This window comes from Homo sapiens, chromosome 14, assembly GCF_000001405.40.
Source record: "Homo sapiens chromosome 14, GRCh38.p14 Primary Assembly".
NCBI classification, from domain to species: domain Eukaryota; kingdom Metazoa; phylum Chordata; class Mammalia; order Primates; family Hominidae; genus Homo; species Homo sapiens.
Window position 1 is genome coordinate 73,347,926 of NC_000014.9, and position 19,838 is coordinate 73,367,763.

At 40.8% G+C, this 19,838-nt stretch overlaps 1 protein-coding gene across 5 annotated transcripts in view; it reads right to left on the bottom strand.

Moving 5' to 3' along the window:
* Positions 1–19,838, bottom strand: part of NUMB (NUMB endocytic adaptor protein) — a 183,331-nt gene that overhangs the window by 72,710 nt on the left and 90,783 nt on the right. For 4 of the 5 annotated variants that reach the window (NM_001005745.2, NM_003744.6, NM_001005744.2 and 1 more), the window contains exons 3-4: positions 18,972–19,056; positions 7,701–7,841 (exon numbers count right to left, since the gene is read on the bottom strand). In NM_001005745.2, coding sequence (NP_001005745.1) covers positions 7,701–7,826 — 126 coding nt within the window. In that variant the 5' untranslated portion in view covers positions 7,827–7,841; positions 18,972–19,056. The remainder of the gene's footprint in view (positions 1–7,700; positions 7,842–18,971; positions 19,057–19,838) is intronic. The other variant, NM_001320114.2, reaches the window with a different exon arrangement.

The window sequence follows — 19,838 nt, forward strand, 5'->3', positions numbered from 1 at the left end:
AAAATACATTTGTAACCCCCATATCAAAACTCATGGTGTTTTCTTGGTCAGTGAGGATCTGCATGTGCATGTCCCATAGCAACTTCAAAAGGAACTCATTTTCTCTACTCCCAAATTTGTTATTCCTTAGTGAGTGCCCCCAACACCCTACCAGTTGCCACCATGGAAAACCTTGTATTCCAAGCTCACTGGTCTCTAAGGCAAGGCAGAATGAGGCATCTTTTGCCCTGCTATATCTGACTGAGGAAATGCATCTACCTCGAGAATATGGAAAATACATTCCAAATTCTGATTCTCCTATTGTACTCTGGGAGTCAGTTGTATATAAGTGTATGAGTTGGGGAGGGAAGGAGTGACACAACATAGCAGAGACACTGAATGTCCTACAGAAAGGATTTCAAAAAGCCATTTGGAAAGGACAAAACAAAACGCACTCTAAATAAGCTGCCCTCCCTGCACAGTCTCTAAAGCAGAGGTCCCCAACACCAGGGGCCATAGCCCAATACTGGTCGGTGGCCTTTTAGGAAATGGGCCACACAGCAGGAGGTGAGCGGAGGGCGAGCAAGCATTACTGCCTGAGCTCCACCTCCTATCTCATCAGTGGCAGTGTTAGATTCTCATAGGAGCGCGAACTCTATTGTGAACTACCCACGTGAGGGATTTAGGTTGTGCGCTCCTTATGAGAATCTAAGGCCTGAAGTGGAACAGTTTCCTCTCAAAACCACCTGCCCCAGCCCCCTAACCCCAGGCCATGAAAAAATTATCTTCCACGAAACCAGTCTCTGGTGCCAAAAAGGCTGGGGACCACTGCTCTAAAGCATATCCCATCTAGCTGATTTTATGACAAGTGAGAATTACACTGAAAGATATCAAAACTTATTCATCTCACACAACATACTTAAAAGCTATAGATTTCACAGCTGATTAGAAGAAGTGCTTCAATTAACTTTACTTCAATTATTTCAACACTGTATACAAACCTCTCAGAATCTGTGAATGAAGTGTTAAAAAAATTATAAATAGGATATATGCTCACAAGAAATGTCACTAGTTCCAAAGGACACAGACTAAAAAGTAAAATATCTTCAATCCTCCATATTCATTCTGCAGTTATTTGTGTCTTAATATTTCTTAAACACAATAATCATATATATTTTTCTTTTAACTGAACAAAATCATACTATATACATAGTTCTGCAGCTTGCCCTTATCACTTAATAATAAATACACTGGAACCAGGCACTCTGGCTCATGCCTGTAATCTCAGCACTTTGGGAGGCCAAGATGGGCAGATCACCTGAGGTCAGGCTGAGGTCAGGAGTTCAAGGCCAGGCTGGCCAACATGGAGAAACACCAACTCTACTAAAAATACAAAAATTAGGCCGGGCACAGTGGCTCATACCTGTAATCCTAGCACTTTGGGAGGCCAAGGTGGGCGGATCATCTGAGGTCAGGAGTTCATGACCAGCCTGGCCAACATGGTGAAACCCCATCTCTACTAAAAATACAAAACTAGCTGGGCATAGTGGCAGGCGCCTGTAATCCCAGCTACTTAGGAGAATCTCTTGAACCTGGGACGCAGAGGCTGCAGTGAGCCGAGATCGTGCCATTGCACTCCATCCTGGGCAACAAGAGTGAAACTCCATCTCAAGAAAAAAAAAAAAAAAAGGGTGGCCAGGCGCGGTGGCTCACACCTGTAATCCCAGCACTTTGGGAGGCCGAGACGGGTGGATCACGAGGCCAGGAGATCAAGACCATCCTGGCTAACACGGTGAAACCCCGTCTCTACTATAAATACAAAAAATTAGCCAGGCGTGGTGGCAGGTGCCTGTAGTCCCAGCTACTTGGGAGGCTGAGGCAGGAGAATCGCGTGAACCCGGGAGGCAGAGCTTGCAGTGAGCCAAGATCGCGCCACTGCACTCCAGCCTGGGGGACAGAGCAAGACTCCGTCTCAAGAAAAAAAACAAAAAACAAAAAAAACTAGCTGGGCATGGTGGCAGGTGCCTGTAATCCCAGCTACTTGAGAGGTTGAGGCACAAGAATCACTTGAACCCAGAAGCAGTGAGGCGTGGTTGCACCACTGCACTCCAGCCTGGGCGAGAGTGAGGCTCTGTCTCACATACATACATACATATATACATACATACATACATACACACACACACACACACACACACACACACTGAAGTCAGTGTTTCCTATGTCAATGATCATCATCTCTGCTCAGGGCAATATGAAACTAGGTGTCTTTTTTTTTTTTTTTTTTGAGATGGAGTCTCGGTCTATCACCCAGGCTGGGGTGCAGTGGCGTGATCTCAGCTCACTGCAACCTCTGCCTCCCGGGTTCAAGCAATTCTCCTGCCTCAGCCTCCCGAGTAGCTGGGGTTACAGGCATGTACACCATGCCTGGCTAGTTTTTGTATTTTTATTAGAGATGGGGTTTCACCATGTTGCCCAGGCTGGTCTCGAACTCCTTACCTCAAATGATCCACCTGCCTCAGCCTCCCAAAGTGCTGGGATTACAGGCATGAGCCACTGTGCCCAGCCTGTGTCATTTTTAATACTACTCTTTTTCATTCCTTAGATTCAGTTCATCTCCAATTTCTATTACCTTTACCTACTTTTTTTTCTTTTTTTTTTGAGACAGGGTCTCGCTCTGTTCCCTAGGCTGGAGTGCAGTGGTGCAATCATGGCTCACTGGGCTCAAGTGACCTTCCCACCTCAGCCTCCTGTGTAGCTCAGATGACAGGTGTGTACTACCACATCTAGCTTTTTTTTTTTTTTGTAGAGATGGGGTCTCACCATGTTGCCCAGGCTGGTCTCGAACTCTTGGGCTCAAGTAACCCTCCCACCTTGGCCTCCCAAAGTGTTGAGATTACAGGTGTGAGCCACCATGCACAGCCTAACTTTACCTCTTAATTATCGATCAATTTATTTCATTTCTCTTCATCTTCACAGTCACCACCCTAGTCTAACCTACCATTATCTATCCTTTGAATTACTGTGATAATATTTTGCTAGGCTCCTTGTATCTAGCATGGGCTACTTCCAAACTACACTGCAGCCAAAGTCATTTTTTCAAAGTGCTTTTCTGGGTTGGAGTTGGCTGAGGATTGAAAAATTACCAGTTGAATACAATGTCCACTATTTGGGTGACAGGTACACTAAAAGCCCAGACTTCACCACTATGTGATACATGCGTGTAAGGAATCTGCACTTATACCTCCTAAATCTATAAATACATACATTTTTAAAATAAATAAGATGGCCGGGCACGGTGGCTCATGCCTGCAATCCCAGGACTTTGGGAGACTGAGGCGGGCGGATCACAAGGTCAAGAGATCGAGACAATCCTGGCCAACATGGTGAAACCCTGTCTCTACTAAAAATACAAAAATTAGCTGGGCATGGGGGCACGTGCCTATAGTCCTAGCTACTCGGGAGGCTAAGGCAGGAGCATCATTTGAACCCTAGAGGCGGAGGTTGCAGTGAGCGGGGGTTGCAGTGAGCTGAGATCGCGCCACTGCACTCCAGCCTGGCAACAGAGCAAGACTCTGTCTCATAAATAAATAAATTAATTAATTAAATTAAATAAGTAAGATACTTAACACAAAAAATGCTTTTCTAATACCACATTCTTGCTTAAAAAAAACTATTTACAGAGTTTGGGAAGATGAAAAAGTTCTGGAGATGACTGGTGGTGATAACTGCACACCAATATGAGTATACTTAATACCGTTGAACTGTACACTTAAAAATGCTTACAAGGGGCCAGGCGCGGTGGCTCACGCCTGTAATCCCAGCACTTTGGGAGGCTGAGATGGGTGGATCACGAGGTCAGGAGATCGAGACCATCCTGGCTAACATGGTGAAACCCCGTCTCTACTAAAAATACAAAAAATTAGCCAGGTGTGGTGGCAGGCGCCTGTAGACCCAGCTACTCGGGAGGCTGAGGCAGGAGAATGGCTTGAACCTGGGAGGTGGAGCTTGCAGTGAGCCGAGATGGCGCCACTGCACTCCAGCCTGGGTGACAGAGCAAGACTCTGTCTCAAAAAATAAAATAAAATAAAAATAAAATAAAATAAAATAAAATGCTTAATAGGATTAATTTTATGTTATATGTACTCTACCTTAATAAATAATGAAAAGAACACACGATTTAATGGCTTCCCACGTACAAAATCCTTAGTATGGATACAAAGCCCTGCCCTGCTTTCCTACAGGGTCATCTCAAACAACTTTCTGCATTACAGTTTTCCTTTACCATTCTTTCCTCTTGTCACCCAGTGCCTACATATACATGCTTTCCATAATTTTCTAATGCTCTATTCACCTTTTCATGTAATTCATTCCCACTCAATCTTCAAATATCAGGTCAAGCTTTACTTTCGCAGAGAAGCCTTACTCTGATCCTATAGTCTAGGATCAAGTTTTTTTCTTACATGTTCTTACAGAACCAGATTTCTTTTCTTAAAAGTATTTACCTTGGGTTGTAATAATATATATATACACACACACACACACACACACACATACACACACACACACACACATATATATATATATATATATATATATATATATATATATATATATATATATATGTTTTTTTTTTTTTTTTTTTTTTGAGACAGAGTCTCTCTCTGTCGCCCAGGCTGGAGTGCAGTGGCACAATCTCGGCTCACTTCAAGCTTCGCCTCCCTGGTTCACGCGATTCTCCTGCCTCAGCCTCCCGAGTAGCTGGGATTACAGGCGCCCGCCACCACGTCCAGCTAATTTTTTTTTTTTTTGTATTTTTAGTAGAGACGGGGTTTCACCGTGTTAGCCAGGATGGTCTCAATCTCCTGACCTCGTGATCTGCCCGCCCTGGCCTCCCAAAGTGCTGGGATTACAGGCATGAGCCACCGTGCCTGCCCTGTAATAGTATATTGTTAATGCAAATATCTAACTAAAGTCTGTTTCCCTCACAAGAAGACTGTAAAATCCACAAGAACAGAAACTATGTCTTTTTTGCTTACCACCTAGCATATACCTGGCATATGACAGATGTTCAAAAAATATTTATTAAATACATAATACAGATCTACCTTACTTTAAAAAAATAAACTGCAAAGAATTCAACTTAATGGATGCCACAGTTTTTCTTGTTTTTTTTTTTTTTTTTTTTTTTTTTTTTGAGACAGAGTCTCACTCTTGTTGCCCGGGCTGGAGTGCAATGGTGTGATCTGGGCTCACTGCCACCTCCACCTCCCAGGTTCAAGCAATTCTCCTGCCTTAGCTTCCTGAGTAGCTGGGATTACAGGCAAGCACTACCATGCCCAGCTAATTTTTTTGTGTTTTTAGTAAAGAAGGGATTTCTCCATGTTGGTCAGGGTGGTCTTGAACTCCCGACCTCAGGTGATCCGCCCGCCTCGGCATCCCAAAGTGCTGGGATTACAGGTGTCAGCCACTGTGCCTGGCCTGTCACAGTTTCTTTAACCAATTCCAGAATGATGGGAATTTAAGTTGTTTCCAAATTTTTGATATTACAAATCTTAGGATGACCACTTATGCCAATATTATCTATAAACGTACTTAAATGCAATTCTTAAATGTAAAATTGCTGGTCAAATGAAAAGTGCATTTAAAATCTTAATACAGGCCAGGCATGGTGGCTCAGGCCTGTAATCCCAGCTACTCGGGAGGCTGAGGCAGGAGAATCGTTTGAACACAGGAGGCGGAGGTTGCAGTGAGCCGAGATCTCGTCACTCCAGCCTTTGCAACAGAGCGAGACTCCATCTCAAAATAAAAAAATAAATAAATGAATAAAATCTTAATAGATATTTCCAAACTGCCTCCCTAAGAGGTTGTAATTTATACTCCAAGCAACCAATGTGCCTCCTTCTACATACGTAATACTCAACTTATATAGCCAAAGTAAGCCAACTGTATGGTGGGGGAGATAACAGAAAAAAAAAGTGTTCATTTTTATGTAAGAGAAGTAGGATTTTTCTCATGATTTAATGTCATATTAAACATTTAAAATTAAAATATTATTTCTACAAAGTTTCAGCAAATGAGTTAAGTAAACAAAGCTAAGTGATTAGGAAAACTCCTAGTTATTAAAAGACTGTGGAAAAATTAGTGTATTTAAAAAGCCATGTATTTCTCTAACCTGTATATTTAAGAATCACTTTTCCTGTCATATGGAAGATTTTTTTTTTCCCTTCAGAAGCTTTAGCCCATATTTCAATCAGTGGTACTGAGGCAGTAAAAAGGAGGAAGAAAATCATAAGAATATTTACACTTATAAGAATACATAGGCCGAGTGTGGTGGATCATGTCTGTAACCCCAGCACTTTGGGAAGCTGAAGCAGGCAGATCACTTGAGGTCAGGAGTTCAAGACCAGCCTGGTCAATGTGGTGAAACCCTGTCTCTACTAAAAATACAAAAAAATTAGCTGGGCGTGGTGGTGCATGCCTGTAGTCCCAGATACTTGGGAGGCTGAGACAGGAGAATCGCTTGAACCTAGGAGACGGAGGTTGCAGTGAGCCGAGATGGTGCCACTGCACTCCAGCCTGGGCGACACAGCAAGACTCCATCTCAAAAAAAAAAAAAAAAAAGAATATATAGGAAATAGGCTGGGTGCAGTGGCTCAGGCCTGTAATCCCAGCACTTTGGGGGCTGAGGCGGGAGGATCGCCTGAAGTCAGGAGTTCAAGGCCAGCCTGGCCAACATGGTGAAAAACCCCATCTCTACTAAAAATACAAAAATTAGCCGGGCATGGTGGGGCACGCCTGTAGTCCCTGCTACTCAGGAGGCACAGGCAAGAGAATCGCTTGAACCCAGGAGGTGGAGATTGCAGTGAGTTGAGATCATGCCACTGCACTCCAGCCTGTGCTATGGAGACAGACTGTGCCTCAAAAAAAAAAAGGAATATATAGTAAATAGTAAATAGAGAAAAAAATTAACATTTTATATCAAACTACAATTTTTCCTTTAAGATATTAACATTTGGTATTTGGTCTAGTTCTATTTTTTTGCCCCCACATTTAATACATCTCACACTGTGATTACATAATATATTGCTTCTTTTTACTAAATAGTAAATAACATACATATTTCTTTCATTTCACTAAAATATGACCTGTCTCAGGCAATACAAAGAAAAGCACCTGTACATCACTGCCTTCTCAGGATCTTCACTATGTTCTTAACCTCTGTGAGTTTCCACTTTCTGATCTTACAAATGAAGGCATTAGTTTAAATGACCTCTGTACCATTAAGGAAAACTCCCTTTGATTTAACTCTTCTCATTTAAGGATTTCTAAAATAAACAAGACTTGTATTTAAGAGAGCTGACTTCCACTCCCTCAGCTTCACCAGTTAGTAAGCATATTCCACTGAAAATTTGAGTCCTGATAATTTAGGGTCTTTAGGTATTTCAGGATTAGTATTCTTATCAGAATATTTGTACTGACTCCACATTATATAGAGAAATTCATATTTAAATATAAAAAGAAAACTCCCTAATTAAAATCTATCTGTTTTCTTTCTCATTATTTTCCTTTCTTTCTCTTTTAATTCTATCATTGAAGCAGAATGTGAAGGGATTTGTTTTTTGGAAGACTCTCTTAATTGTCCTTATTAATGAGATTTCACATACACTAGATTGTCAGTTCTTTTCCACATACAGACTTATAGAAACATCAGCTCTTACCTTAACCGGGAAGCTACATTTTCCGGTGCGAACGCCTTCTTCATCTGTCTGCCACTGATGTGGACGACTGGCCTCTGGAACATAAACATCCTTCTTTCTCCTAAAACTTTGCCGTAATTTGTTCATTTTAATTTTTACAGCCTGAAGACAGAGGAAAAAAAATATTTAAAAGAAATATTACCTTCTTACATATTTAAACTTTGGATTACCATACTAACCAAAAATCTGATGTCCAAAATTAAAGGTTTTGGGTTTTATTTAAGCAATATATAATTATCATGTAAGCACAGTGTAAAGGGAAAATGAATAGAACATTTCCTCTTAGAGTAACACTAAGTTCAAACAAACAAATCATTTTACTTTTTGAAAAGACAACTACAATACTAGTCCTTGTAAGAACAATAACTTCTAGTAGGATTTAAAGACATATTATCCTAAGAAATTTCAAGAACTTTAGTTATAACAAAGCAATGAGAAATTCTGCCTACCCATCTACCTCTCAAATTCATTCCAACCCCTGAAAATGGAAATTTGTACATGTAGACCAAATTATAGACTGCTAACAGTTTCTAAAAACTTTTATAGTTATTAAGAAAAAAATCATTCTGAAACACTAAAATTTAGGAATCTTTTTGGCTCATTATTAGAAAACACTAAGCAAAGCAGGGATTACAATCATGTTCTTATAAAAGATGTCATGAAGAATAAAATAAAGTTTTCTTTAAACACACTTAAAGCCAGGTGCAATGGCTCATGCCTGTAATCCCAACACTTTGGGAGGCTGAGATGGGCAGATCACTTGAGGTCAGGAGCTGAAGACCAGCCTGGCCAACATGGCAAAACCCCGCCTCTACTAAAACTACAAAAATTAGCCAGGTGTGGTGGTGCACACCTGTAATCCCAGCTACTCAGGAGGCTGAGGCAGAAGAATCACTTGAACTCAAGAGGTGGAGGTTGCAGTGAGCCAAGATCACACAGCCTGGGCGACAGAGTGAGACTGTGTCTCAAAAATAAGTAAATAAATAAGCACACTTAAAGAAAAAAAATGTGCTACTAGGACTAAATCTAGAGAAAAAACATTTTTTTTCAGACAGTCTCACTCTGTCACTAAGGCTGGAGTGTAGTGGCGTGATCACAGCTCATTGCAACCTTTATCTCCCTGGCTCAAGCAATCCTCCCATCTCAGTCTCCCAAGTAGCTGGGACTACAGAGACATGTGCCACCACACCTGGCTTTTTTCTTTTTTCTTTTAAGTAGAGACAAGGTCTCACTATGTTGATCAGGCTGGTCTGAAACTCCTGAGTGAAAGCAATCCTCCCGCCTTGGCCTCTCTAAGTGCTGGAATTACAGGCGTGAGCCACCATACCTGGCCAGAAGAATTTCTTGCAAGCAGTATGACATCAGAATGCCTTTCCATATCGATAATCATTATAGTAACATAAAAAAAATGACAAAGGTACAAGTTTCATTATCAACTCTGTAACTAAAAAGTGTTGGCCGGGTGTGGCGGCTCACCCCTGTAATCCCAGCACTTTGGGAGGCCGAGGCAGGTGGATCACTTGAGGTCAGGAGTTGGAGACCAGCCTGGCTAACATAGCGAAACCCCGTCTCTACTAAAAATACAAAAATTAGCCAGGCATGGTGGCATGCACCTGTGATCCCAGCTACTCGGGAGGCTGAGGCAGGAGAATCACTTGAACCTGGGGGGCAGAGGCTGCAGTGAGCCAAGATCGCGCCACTTCACTCCAGCCTAGGCAAAAGAGAGAAACTCTGTCAAAAAAAAAAAAAGAAAGAAAGAAAGAAAGGAAATACTGTTATATTCTTTTATATCACATTTTAAAAACATACATGGGCTGGGCACAGTGGCTCACGTGTGTAATCCCAGCACTTTCGGAGGCCGAGGCAGGTGAATCACGAGGTCAGGAATTTGAATTTGAGACCAGCCTGGCCAACATGGTAAAACCCCGTCTCTACAAAAAATACAAAAATTAGTTGGGCGTGGTGGCACGCACCTGTAATCCCAGCTACTCAGGAGGCTGAGGCAGAAGAATCGCTTGAACCCGGGAGGCGGAGGTTGCAGTAAGCCGAGATTGTGCCACTGCACTCCAGCCTGGGCAACAGAGCGAGACTGTCTCAAAAAGAAATTAAGTAAATAAATAAAGGAACATAAAAAACAAAAACAGACACAAATACAAGTATAAGAAAATGAAAAACCTATATCCTTACTCAAGTTGGCATGCTCCAAATTATCCTGAGGCCCCCCCCAAAAAAAAAAAAACCCACCAAAAAAAACAAACTAAAAAAACCCTGTTATGATTCCTTTCTTCTTCATTTCTTCGTCTTAGCAAAGACAACTACTCACCTACCTACTCGGCCAAGCCAGACACCTGAAAATCATCCCTGCACTCAGCCTTTCTCTGGCCTGATTTTACCCGGACTGATTTTACCTCCTTAGTAGCTCTTGAATTCATCCCTCTCCCCAACTATTCCAGTCCTACTATCCTGAGACATTTTTCTTTAAATTATTGCTTTAAACAATTTAGAGACATATTGGGATGGAGCTCCATAGAGGCAAAGAGACCAAAATACTCAAGTATAAGTGATACTCAAGTATTTTAGTCTCTTTACCTTTAACAGAGCTCCATCCCAATATGTTCTAAAACACAAATCTGACCATGTATCCACTCTGTTGAAAACCCTTCAATTGCTTCACACCACCTTCAAGACAAAGTTCAAATGCATGGTAAACACAGTCCTTCTTCCTCTGGCTTCTCTCACCAGTCCCCATTCACATGCTAACCTCCAGCTACCCTAAACTACTTACAGTTCTCCAAACAAAGCATGCCCTCTTTCAGAGCCTCTGTATATGTTCCTCCCTCTGCCTAGAAAGAAATATCGTTACCTGTGCATGTCTGGTTAAAGTCTACTCATCTTTAAAGAGTCAGCTCAGGAGTTAACCTCTTCAGGAAAGCTAGACTTTTTTTTTTTTTTTTTTTTTTTGACAAGCCCCTACCTGGCTTGGTTAGGTCCTTCCACTTCATATAATTCGGATTAATACCTTCTTCTTACTTCTATTATTGTATGCATCAACCTTATAGTAATTTCCTATTTCCTTAATGGTTGACTGTATCTTATTTGTTTAAATATACCCTTGCATCATAACACACTGCCTGTCATATATAGCATACTATAAATTTGAAGAATTGAAAGATAAAACAGACGCCCACCACAGTAGAGGCTATGTCACTAGGTAGGAAAAGTCTCAACATACAAGACCAAAGAACCATCGATGCTGGAAGAGACTGACAGTGTAATAGTCCAACCTCCCACTGACAAAGGAACCACTGACAACTTCCATTAAAAGAGGACATCCAACCTCTGTCTAAATAGATCTAGTACAAGTTTATTTGCTCTTTGGGCAGCTATTTATTGTTGTACCATTCTGTTGCCCAGTAAGAGAAAAGACTGAAAGTGTCAGCCAGTTTAGGGTCTAAGTATCTTGTCACTTTCTTTTTTAAAAAATGAATTTGGAAAAACGAAAACACATAATTATGATATCTTGCTTACTATTTCTTAATGAATAATTATCACTAGCCTGTAATTCTACCTACTCAGGAAGCTGAGGCACGAGAATCACTTGAACCCAGGAGGCAGAGGCTGCAGTGAGCTGAGATTGTGCCACTGCACTCCAGCCTGGGCAGCAGAGAATCTGCCTCAAAACAGTAATAATAATAACAATAAAGCATGTTAAGACTTTAGAGATAAAAATACATATAGCCATCACCCCAAACTCCACAATACACATATATACAGACTGACTTCATTAGAATAGTATTACTTTAAGAATTAAACCTTTATTTATAAAACAAAATAATTTTGCTTTGATATAGCAAGGATTGATTTAGCAAGGAACATCTTGATGAAAAAGGGCAGAATTGCTGAGGATGCTAGCCTACTTTTTACACTAGCTTTCCTCCTGCATCTGTCAAGTGTGGGATGAGAAAAAGGTGTTGGAATCTGGAGAGAGAGATTAGAATAAAAATATATTTGATTCCAAGAATGGGGAGGTGGTGGAGGCAATGGGGTAGGAGAGAGAAAAAATGCCACTGAAAAAATTACAGAAATAAGAAATAAGCTGTTAAAAACAGCTCTGCTTCCCTTTACTGACAAATAACTTGGCAAAATATTTACACATTATCTCTTCAATTCTTTAGTCCTCTCTTGTCTTGCTCCTCTCTTTTTCCCTCACCCCCGACTCTCCCCTTATCCAAGCCATCAACAAAAGACTTCTAAAATATATCTCAAAACTATCCACTGCACTTAATCTCCACCACCCATAGTCCAAGATAACTTTGCCTCTTACCTGGACTAGCATAAGCCACTAGTATTTATTTCTATGTCCTCTGTTGTCCCTCTCTCATCAACTATGTACAGATTAGCCACCGTAATCTTTAAAAATGTAAAATGGATCATGGCATTGCTTAATAGTTCCATGGCTTTCCAATGTATCTTCAAATAAAATCCAAACTCTCACTATTCAGTGAGTCAGTATGGCATAATAATTCACACTGCTCAAGAAGTGGTGCTTACAATAGTATCAGAACATCACAAATACACAGTACATGTTAGCATATAAAGGTATGGCCCCGGCTGGGCACGGTGGCTCATGCCTGTAATCCCAACAATTTGGGAGGCCGAGGCAGGTGGATCACCTGGGGTCAGGAGTTCGAGACCTGCCTGGCCAACAGGGTGAAACCCTGTCTCTACTAAAAATACAAAAAAATTAGCGAAGTGTGGTGGCGGGCACCTTGTAGCCCAGCTACTCGGGAGGCTGAGGCAGGAGTATCACTTGAACCCGGGAGGCAGAGGTTGTAGTGAGCTGAGATCACACCATTGCACTCCATCCTGGGTGACAAAGTGAGACTCCATCTCAAAACAAAACAAAAAAGGTATGGCCCCTGCATGTCTCTCTTGCCTTGAGGTGGCATTTTTCCCAACTAACTCTTTATGATCCTTTCAGTTAACTGCAAGCTCATTCTCACTCTAGGCCTGTTGTTTCCTTCTCTCTGAAATACTCTTCTCCCAGACCCTTCAACAGTACATTGGTCTCCCACTCATTCTTCACTCTCAACCTAAAAGTTGACGTCTTTTTCTACTTTCTAAATACCATCCTCTATAATTCTTTATTATACTACTCTTTTCATTTCCTTCACAATTTATTTTATTTTATTTTATTTGGAGACAGGGTCTATCTTATCTTTTATCTTATTTTATTTTATTTGGAGACAGGGTATCACTCTGTCACCCAGGCTGGAGTGCAGCAGCATAATCTCACTCACTGCAGCCTCAACCTCCCGGGCTCAAGCGATCCTCGCATCTCAGCCTCCCGAGTAGCTGGAACTATAGGTGCATGTCACCACACCCAGCTAATTGTTGTGTTTTTTTGTAGAGATGGGGTTTTGCCATGTTACCGAGGCTGGTTTTGAACTCCTGAGCTCAAGCGACATGCCTGCCTCAGCTTCCAAAAGTGCTGGGATTATAGGTGTGAACCACTGCACATGGCCTATAGTTTCTAATTACTTTGTTTCATTGCTTCAGCTCTTCCTTGATCATCAGATGCTTCAGCATCCATTCAATAAGTTATCTAACTTGCTAAAGGTAGAAAGCATTGGCTTCTGTCCTTTCTATCCAAAATAATCTTAACTAATGTAAATGTTAAGTATTCTCCTCCTTTGACCAAGAAGCTAATTGTTCACTAATATAAATATGTCAAAGCCTGTGCTATGATTATACATAGATTCTTCCTTTGATTTTTTTGATGTTTCAGAATTTCTTTTTTTTTTTAACTTTTATTTTCAGTTTGGGGGTACATGTGAAGGTTACATAGGTAAACACGTGTCATGGGGGTTTGTTGCACATATTATTTCAACACCCAGGTATTAAGCCCAGTACCCAGTAGTTATCTTTTCTGCTCCTCTCCCTCCTCCCACCCTCCCCACTCAAGTAGACCCCTGTGTCTGTTGTTTCCTTGTGTTCATAAGTTCTTATCATTTAGCTCCCATCAATTGTTAATTAAATAATATTCTGTATCCAACAAAGTATTGTGCTAGGTACTAGAAGAGCCAGGATGGAAATTTTTTTATTTTAAAATAACTTTATCAAGACCTCAAGGTCTTGAATGATATAAGAACACAATGAAAGAGACAGAAAAGGGGCATTTCAAACAGGGAATGAGGTAGGATGAAAAGTCATGCTATGTATGTAAATATATGTATTTCCTCAAAACGAATATACTACTGATGATAAGATGTACCACTATTTTATGTTCCACTGAAAAAGAAAAAATGGAGGCCAGGTGCGCTGGCTCACACCTGTAATCCCCACACTTTGGGAAGCCGAGGTGGGTGGATTGCTTGAGCCCATGAATTCGAGACCAGCCTGGACAACATGGCAAAATCCCATCTTTACAAAAAATACAAAAACTAGCCAGGCATGGTGCTGTGTGCCTGTGGTCCCAGCTACTTGGGGGGCTGGGGTGGGAGGGTCACTTTAGCCAAGGAGGAAGAGGCTACAGTGAGCCATTATCTTACCACTGCACTCCAGCCTAGGTGACAGAGTGATACCTTGTCTCAAAAAAAAAATGCTACCAAAATTGTTTAAGAATTGTTCATTTACTGTGAAATATCACAATAGTAAGATGTATCCCAATGGGAGACGATTCCCAGTTCCAGAGATGTTAAAGTGTGAGAGAAAGAGGGAAAAGAGGAGGAAAAGGGGGAGGAGGAGAAACAGAAGGTGAAAGAAAAAGAAAATTATCATCTAATTTTGTTCCTTTGAGATAGCATCTCACTCTTGTCACCCAGGCTGGAGTACAGTGGTGTGATCATGGCTCACTTCAGTTGTGACCTCCCAGACTAGGTGATCCTCCCACTTCAGCCTCCCAAGTAGCTAGGACTACAGGTGCGCACCACCATGCCCAGCTATTTTTTGTAGAGACGGGGTTTTGCCACACGTTACCCAAGCTGGTTTTGAACTCCTTGGGTCAAGTGACCCACATGCCTCGGCCTCCCAAAGTGCTGGGATTACAGGTGTGAGCTACTGCACCTGGCCTATCACTCTATTATAAATAGAAAATCAGCCTTCCAAGAACCTCAGCAAGTCTCAATGACATAGCATATTGGTTACTCATTAAAACTTGTTATCAAAAAGTGGAGAAAAGGCCACTGGAAAGAGTGATCATGGGCTGGGTGCAGTGGCTCATGCCTGTAATCCCAGTACTTTGGGAGGCTGAGGCAGGAGGATCGTTTGAGTCTAGGAGTTCAATACCAGCCTGGGCAACATAGTGAGACCCTGTCTCTATTAAAAAAAGAAAAATTTAAAATAAATAAAGCCGGGTGCAGTGGCTCATGCCTGTAATCCCAACACTTTGGGAGGCTGAGGCCGGTGGATCACCTGAGGTCAGAAGTTTGAGACCAGCCTGGCCTACATGGCAAAATCCCATCTCTATGAAAAATACAAAAAATTAGTCAGGCACATTGGTATGTGCCTGTAGTCCCAGCTACTCAGGAGACCGATACAGGAGAATCACTTGAGCCTGGGAGGTGGAGGTTGCAGTGAGCCAGATCATACCACTGCACTCCAGCCTGGACAACAGAGACCTTGTCTCAAAAAGAAAAAGAAGAAAAAAAAAAGCTCAGACAAAATGGTTCAATTCCTACAAAAAGACACTCTCTAAAAACTGACCTAACTAGAAACACAATCCTAAATGAAACCATTTAGAATACTGCATACCTGCCCGGCAAAATATTAAACCCATCACCCCGAAAAATACCATGCCCAGACAGTTGAACAGAAGTTCAACAAAACTTTCTTAAAAAGATCATTCTAGTCTTAAATAAATCTTTTCAGGGGGAAAAAAATAGTTTCTAACTCATTATTTGAGGCTGGCATAACCTGGATACCAAAACCAACTAAGGACAAGAAATTAAAATTATGGGCCAATTTCACCTGTGAATGAACATAGATGCAAAAATCGTTAACAGTCCAGGTGCAGTGGCTCATGCTTGTAATCCCAACACTTTGGGAGGCTGAGGTGGAAGGACTGCTTAAGCCCAGGAGTTCAAGTCCAGTTTGGGCAACATAGCAAGACCTCATCTCTACTAAAAATTTTAAAAGTAGACAGCCATGATGGTGCACCCCTGTAGTACCAGCTACTCAGAAGGCTGACGTGCGATGAAAACTTGAGCCCAGGAGTTCGAGGTTACAGTGAGCTAAGATCATACCATTGCACCGGACTGGGTGACAGAACAAGATCCCATCTCTTAAAAACAAAACAAATTAATAAACTAAATCCAACTGTATATTTTTTTCTAAAAAGTCCATCATGACAGAGTTGGATTTCAGCAATTCAACATTATAAATGTCATTCACCACATTAACAGAATAAAGGAGGAAAACTATGTGATCATCTTGTAAATGCAGAAAACATGTTTGATAAAATTCAATACTCGTTCTTCACACAAAAAATATCTTGGCCTACTAGGAAGAGAAATGCTTTTAACCTAGAAAAAGTTTCTATCAAAAATATATAGCAGGCCAGGCATGGTGGCTCAAGCCTGTGCCACCGTGCTGAGGTGGGCGGATAACTTGAGGCGGATAACCTGAGGTCAGGAGTTCGAGACCAGCCTGGCCAACATGGTGAAACCCCATCTCTACTAAAAGTACAAAAATTAGCCAGGCATGGTGATGCCCGCTTATAGTCCCAGCTACTCAGGAGGTTGAGGTGGGAAGATCACTTGAACCTGGGAAGCTGAGGTTGCAGTGGGCTGAGATTGCACCACTGCACTCCAGCCTGGGTGACAGAGCAAGACCCTGTCTCAAATAAATAAAAATTTTAAAAAAATAATAAAAATAAATACACATACATATATATATAGCAAACCTTAGTCATAATAGTGAAACAAAATAAGTACTTCCTTTAAAAAATTAAGTGCAACATAAGAATGCGCACTATTTTTTTTTAGACAGGGTCTTGCTCTGTTGTCCAGGCTACAGTGCAGTGGCACGATCATGACTCACTGCAGTCTCAACCTCCTGGGCTTAAAGCAATCCTTCCACTTCAGCCTCCTGAATAGCTGGGACTACAGGTATGTTGTACCTCCACACCTGCCTAGTTTTTATTTATTTATTTATTTTAGAGATGGGGTCTTGCTATGTTGCCCAGGCTGATCTCAAACTCCTGGGCTCAAGCAAAGGAATGCCTACTATTAACACTTGCACTGAATACTGTACTGAAAGTCCTAAATAACATAGTTAAGGCAAGAGAAAGAAATAAAGCATGGGAAAGAAACAAAACAGAAGATGCAAAGAAAACAAAGAGGAAAAATACACCATTCACAATAGTAACAAGAAATAAGGTCTCTTCTTTTTTCTTTAAGACAATCTCGCTGTGTCACCCAGGCTGGAGTGCAGTGGCGTGATCTCGGTTCACTGCAACCTCCACCTCCCAGGTTCAAGCAATTCTCGTGCCTCAGCCTGCTAAGTAGCTGGGATTACAGGCGTGTGCCACTATACACAGCTAATTTTTGTATTTTTTAGTAGAGATGGGGCTTCACCATGTTGGCTAGGCTGGTCTTGAACTCCTGGCCTCAAGTGATCTGCCCATCTCAGCCTCCCAAAGTGCTAAGATTACAGGCGTGAGCCATCATGCCTGGCCATCTTATTTTTCTTTATGGAAAAAAGAGAAAGCGAATTTACTGAAAAATATTTTAAATATCTAAATAACCAAAAAGATATTCTACGATCAAGGACAGTAAGTCTCAATACCATAAAAGAAGGAAATAAATTAAATGTATGTGTAGAATAAAAGCTATAGGCTGGGCATGGTAGTAATACCAGCACTTTGGGAGGCTGAGGTGGAAGGACTGCTCGAGCCTAAGAGTTTCAGACCAGCCTGGGCAACATAGCAAGACTCTGTCTCCATAAGAAAAAAATTAAAAATTAAAAAAATAAAGCTACAGAGCTCTGGGGTTCATACAAGGCAGGTCCCATTCTTTAAATAGCTTTTGAATTTTTGTATAATTTTGCTCAAATTATCTCCCATTCATGGATATTTATGCAACAGATATAAACTTACTATTAGTAAATAATCATAGATACCTTACTTTAATGAAATTGTAGTAATAGTTAATCAGCACTTTAGGATTCTGACAGCTACAATAAACAAGTATGAGAAAAGAATACATGATCAGTTCATGGCTGAGTTCTAGTTGAATGTGCTGTGGTCCCACTGGTTCAAAGGTCATTCAGTGTGCACATTCACCATAGTGAAAGTTCTAATAAGCACTCCTGCAAGTGATAAAACGCTGCCAACATTTTATGTAATACATGAGGTTTTGGTTCTTGGTAATTTTCTGTCAAGGCTGCCAAAACACCATCTCCTTAAAAGCTACCTGAAAATATGGACATTTATTCTAAATACAAATTGCATTCTGAAGGGGAAGGCAGACAAAACACATTCATAATGCAATGACCATGTTAGGCTCAATGGGTACTTCTAGTGGTCCTATGTATGGCCCTTATATATGTAAGGCTCTTGTACATGTGAGATCTACAAGCAGTTGCCCAATTTGCTTTACAATAGACCTGAATTTGAAAGAATGAATGATATTCTTTAGATCTAACTTATTCAAGTTTAATTTTGGTTTATGTAAGTTTTGTCATACCCTACATTGCTGCCTAAACGTTGCTTTATCCATATTTCCTAATACAGAATTAGATATTATGATAATTTTCTTTACTGGTTGCTAGGAGATGATAATACTAATCACTGCCATTCACTGAATGCTTACTGTGTGCCAGGCATTGTTGTAAATGCTTTGTATGTATTAAATCATTCAATCTTTACAATAACCCTGTCAGGTGGATAATATTACCATCACAATTTTACAGATAGGAAAACTGATGTATGGAAAAGTTAAGTAACTTTCCCAATGTCACACAACAAGTAAATGAAGAGGCTAAAGGATTCATACCCAAGTAGTCTGTCTCCAGAGACTAGACCCTTAAATACCATTTATACTGCTTTTCACAATATTGAAAAGATATGTGAAATTATTATAAAGGACAAAAACACTCAGCATTAAAAATATTATCAGTAATTGTTAAACAACAGTTAAGCAATATTAATACTAACACAACTTATCACAGGTTGATACTTCACAGCTATTTCAGATTCATGGTTATGATTAAGAGTTTTGAAGTTGGACAGACCTGGCTCTGAATCTTGGCTGTGCCCTTTACAAGTTGTGTGATTTTGGACAAGTTTCGTAACTTCACCAAGCCTCAGTTTCCTCATCTGTAAAATGAGAATAATAAACATCTCACAAAATTGTTGTAACATAATTATTGCTGCATTGCGCTGAAATAGTAACTCCAAACAAAACACACACAAAATAAAGAGGTCCCAATTTTCCCCATAAAACAAGACTTTATTATAATGATATACTGAAGATGATCACTCCAAGTTACTCCAGTAACTGTAAGATCCACACACTAATGTAGAACCACAATTTTCTCTAATACGTGACAAATAATTCCCCTATATAAAACTCAAATATCTACAGGTAAATTATTCAATCTTTGAAATAAAATACTATATATATATATATATACACACACACACACACACACACACACATATATACATATATATATATATATATAGAGAGAGAGAGAGAGAGAGAGAGAGACAAATAGGATATTGTTATTTATTGAGAGCAACTCCCACAAATCCCATTCTACACATATCCCTAGTAAGACCAGTAATTAGCATTCAAGGGGCCCAAAACAGGAAGAGCTGTGTCAAGAAGGATCAATTTGGGCCATGCCTGTAATCCCAGCACTTCGGGAGGCCTCGGCAGGACAATCACTTGAGCCCAGGGGTTCAAGACCAAGCTGAGCAACATAGGGAAACCTCGCCTCTACAAAAAACTTTAAAAATTAGCCAGGTATGGTGACATGCACCTGTGGTCCCAACTACTCCGGAGGCTGAGACAGAAGGATAGGTTGAGCCTGGGAGGTCAAGGCTGCAGCGAGCTGTGATCACGCCACTGCACTCCAGCCTGGACAACAGAGTGA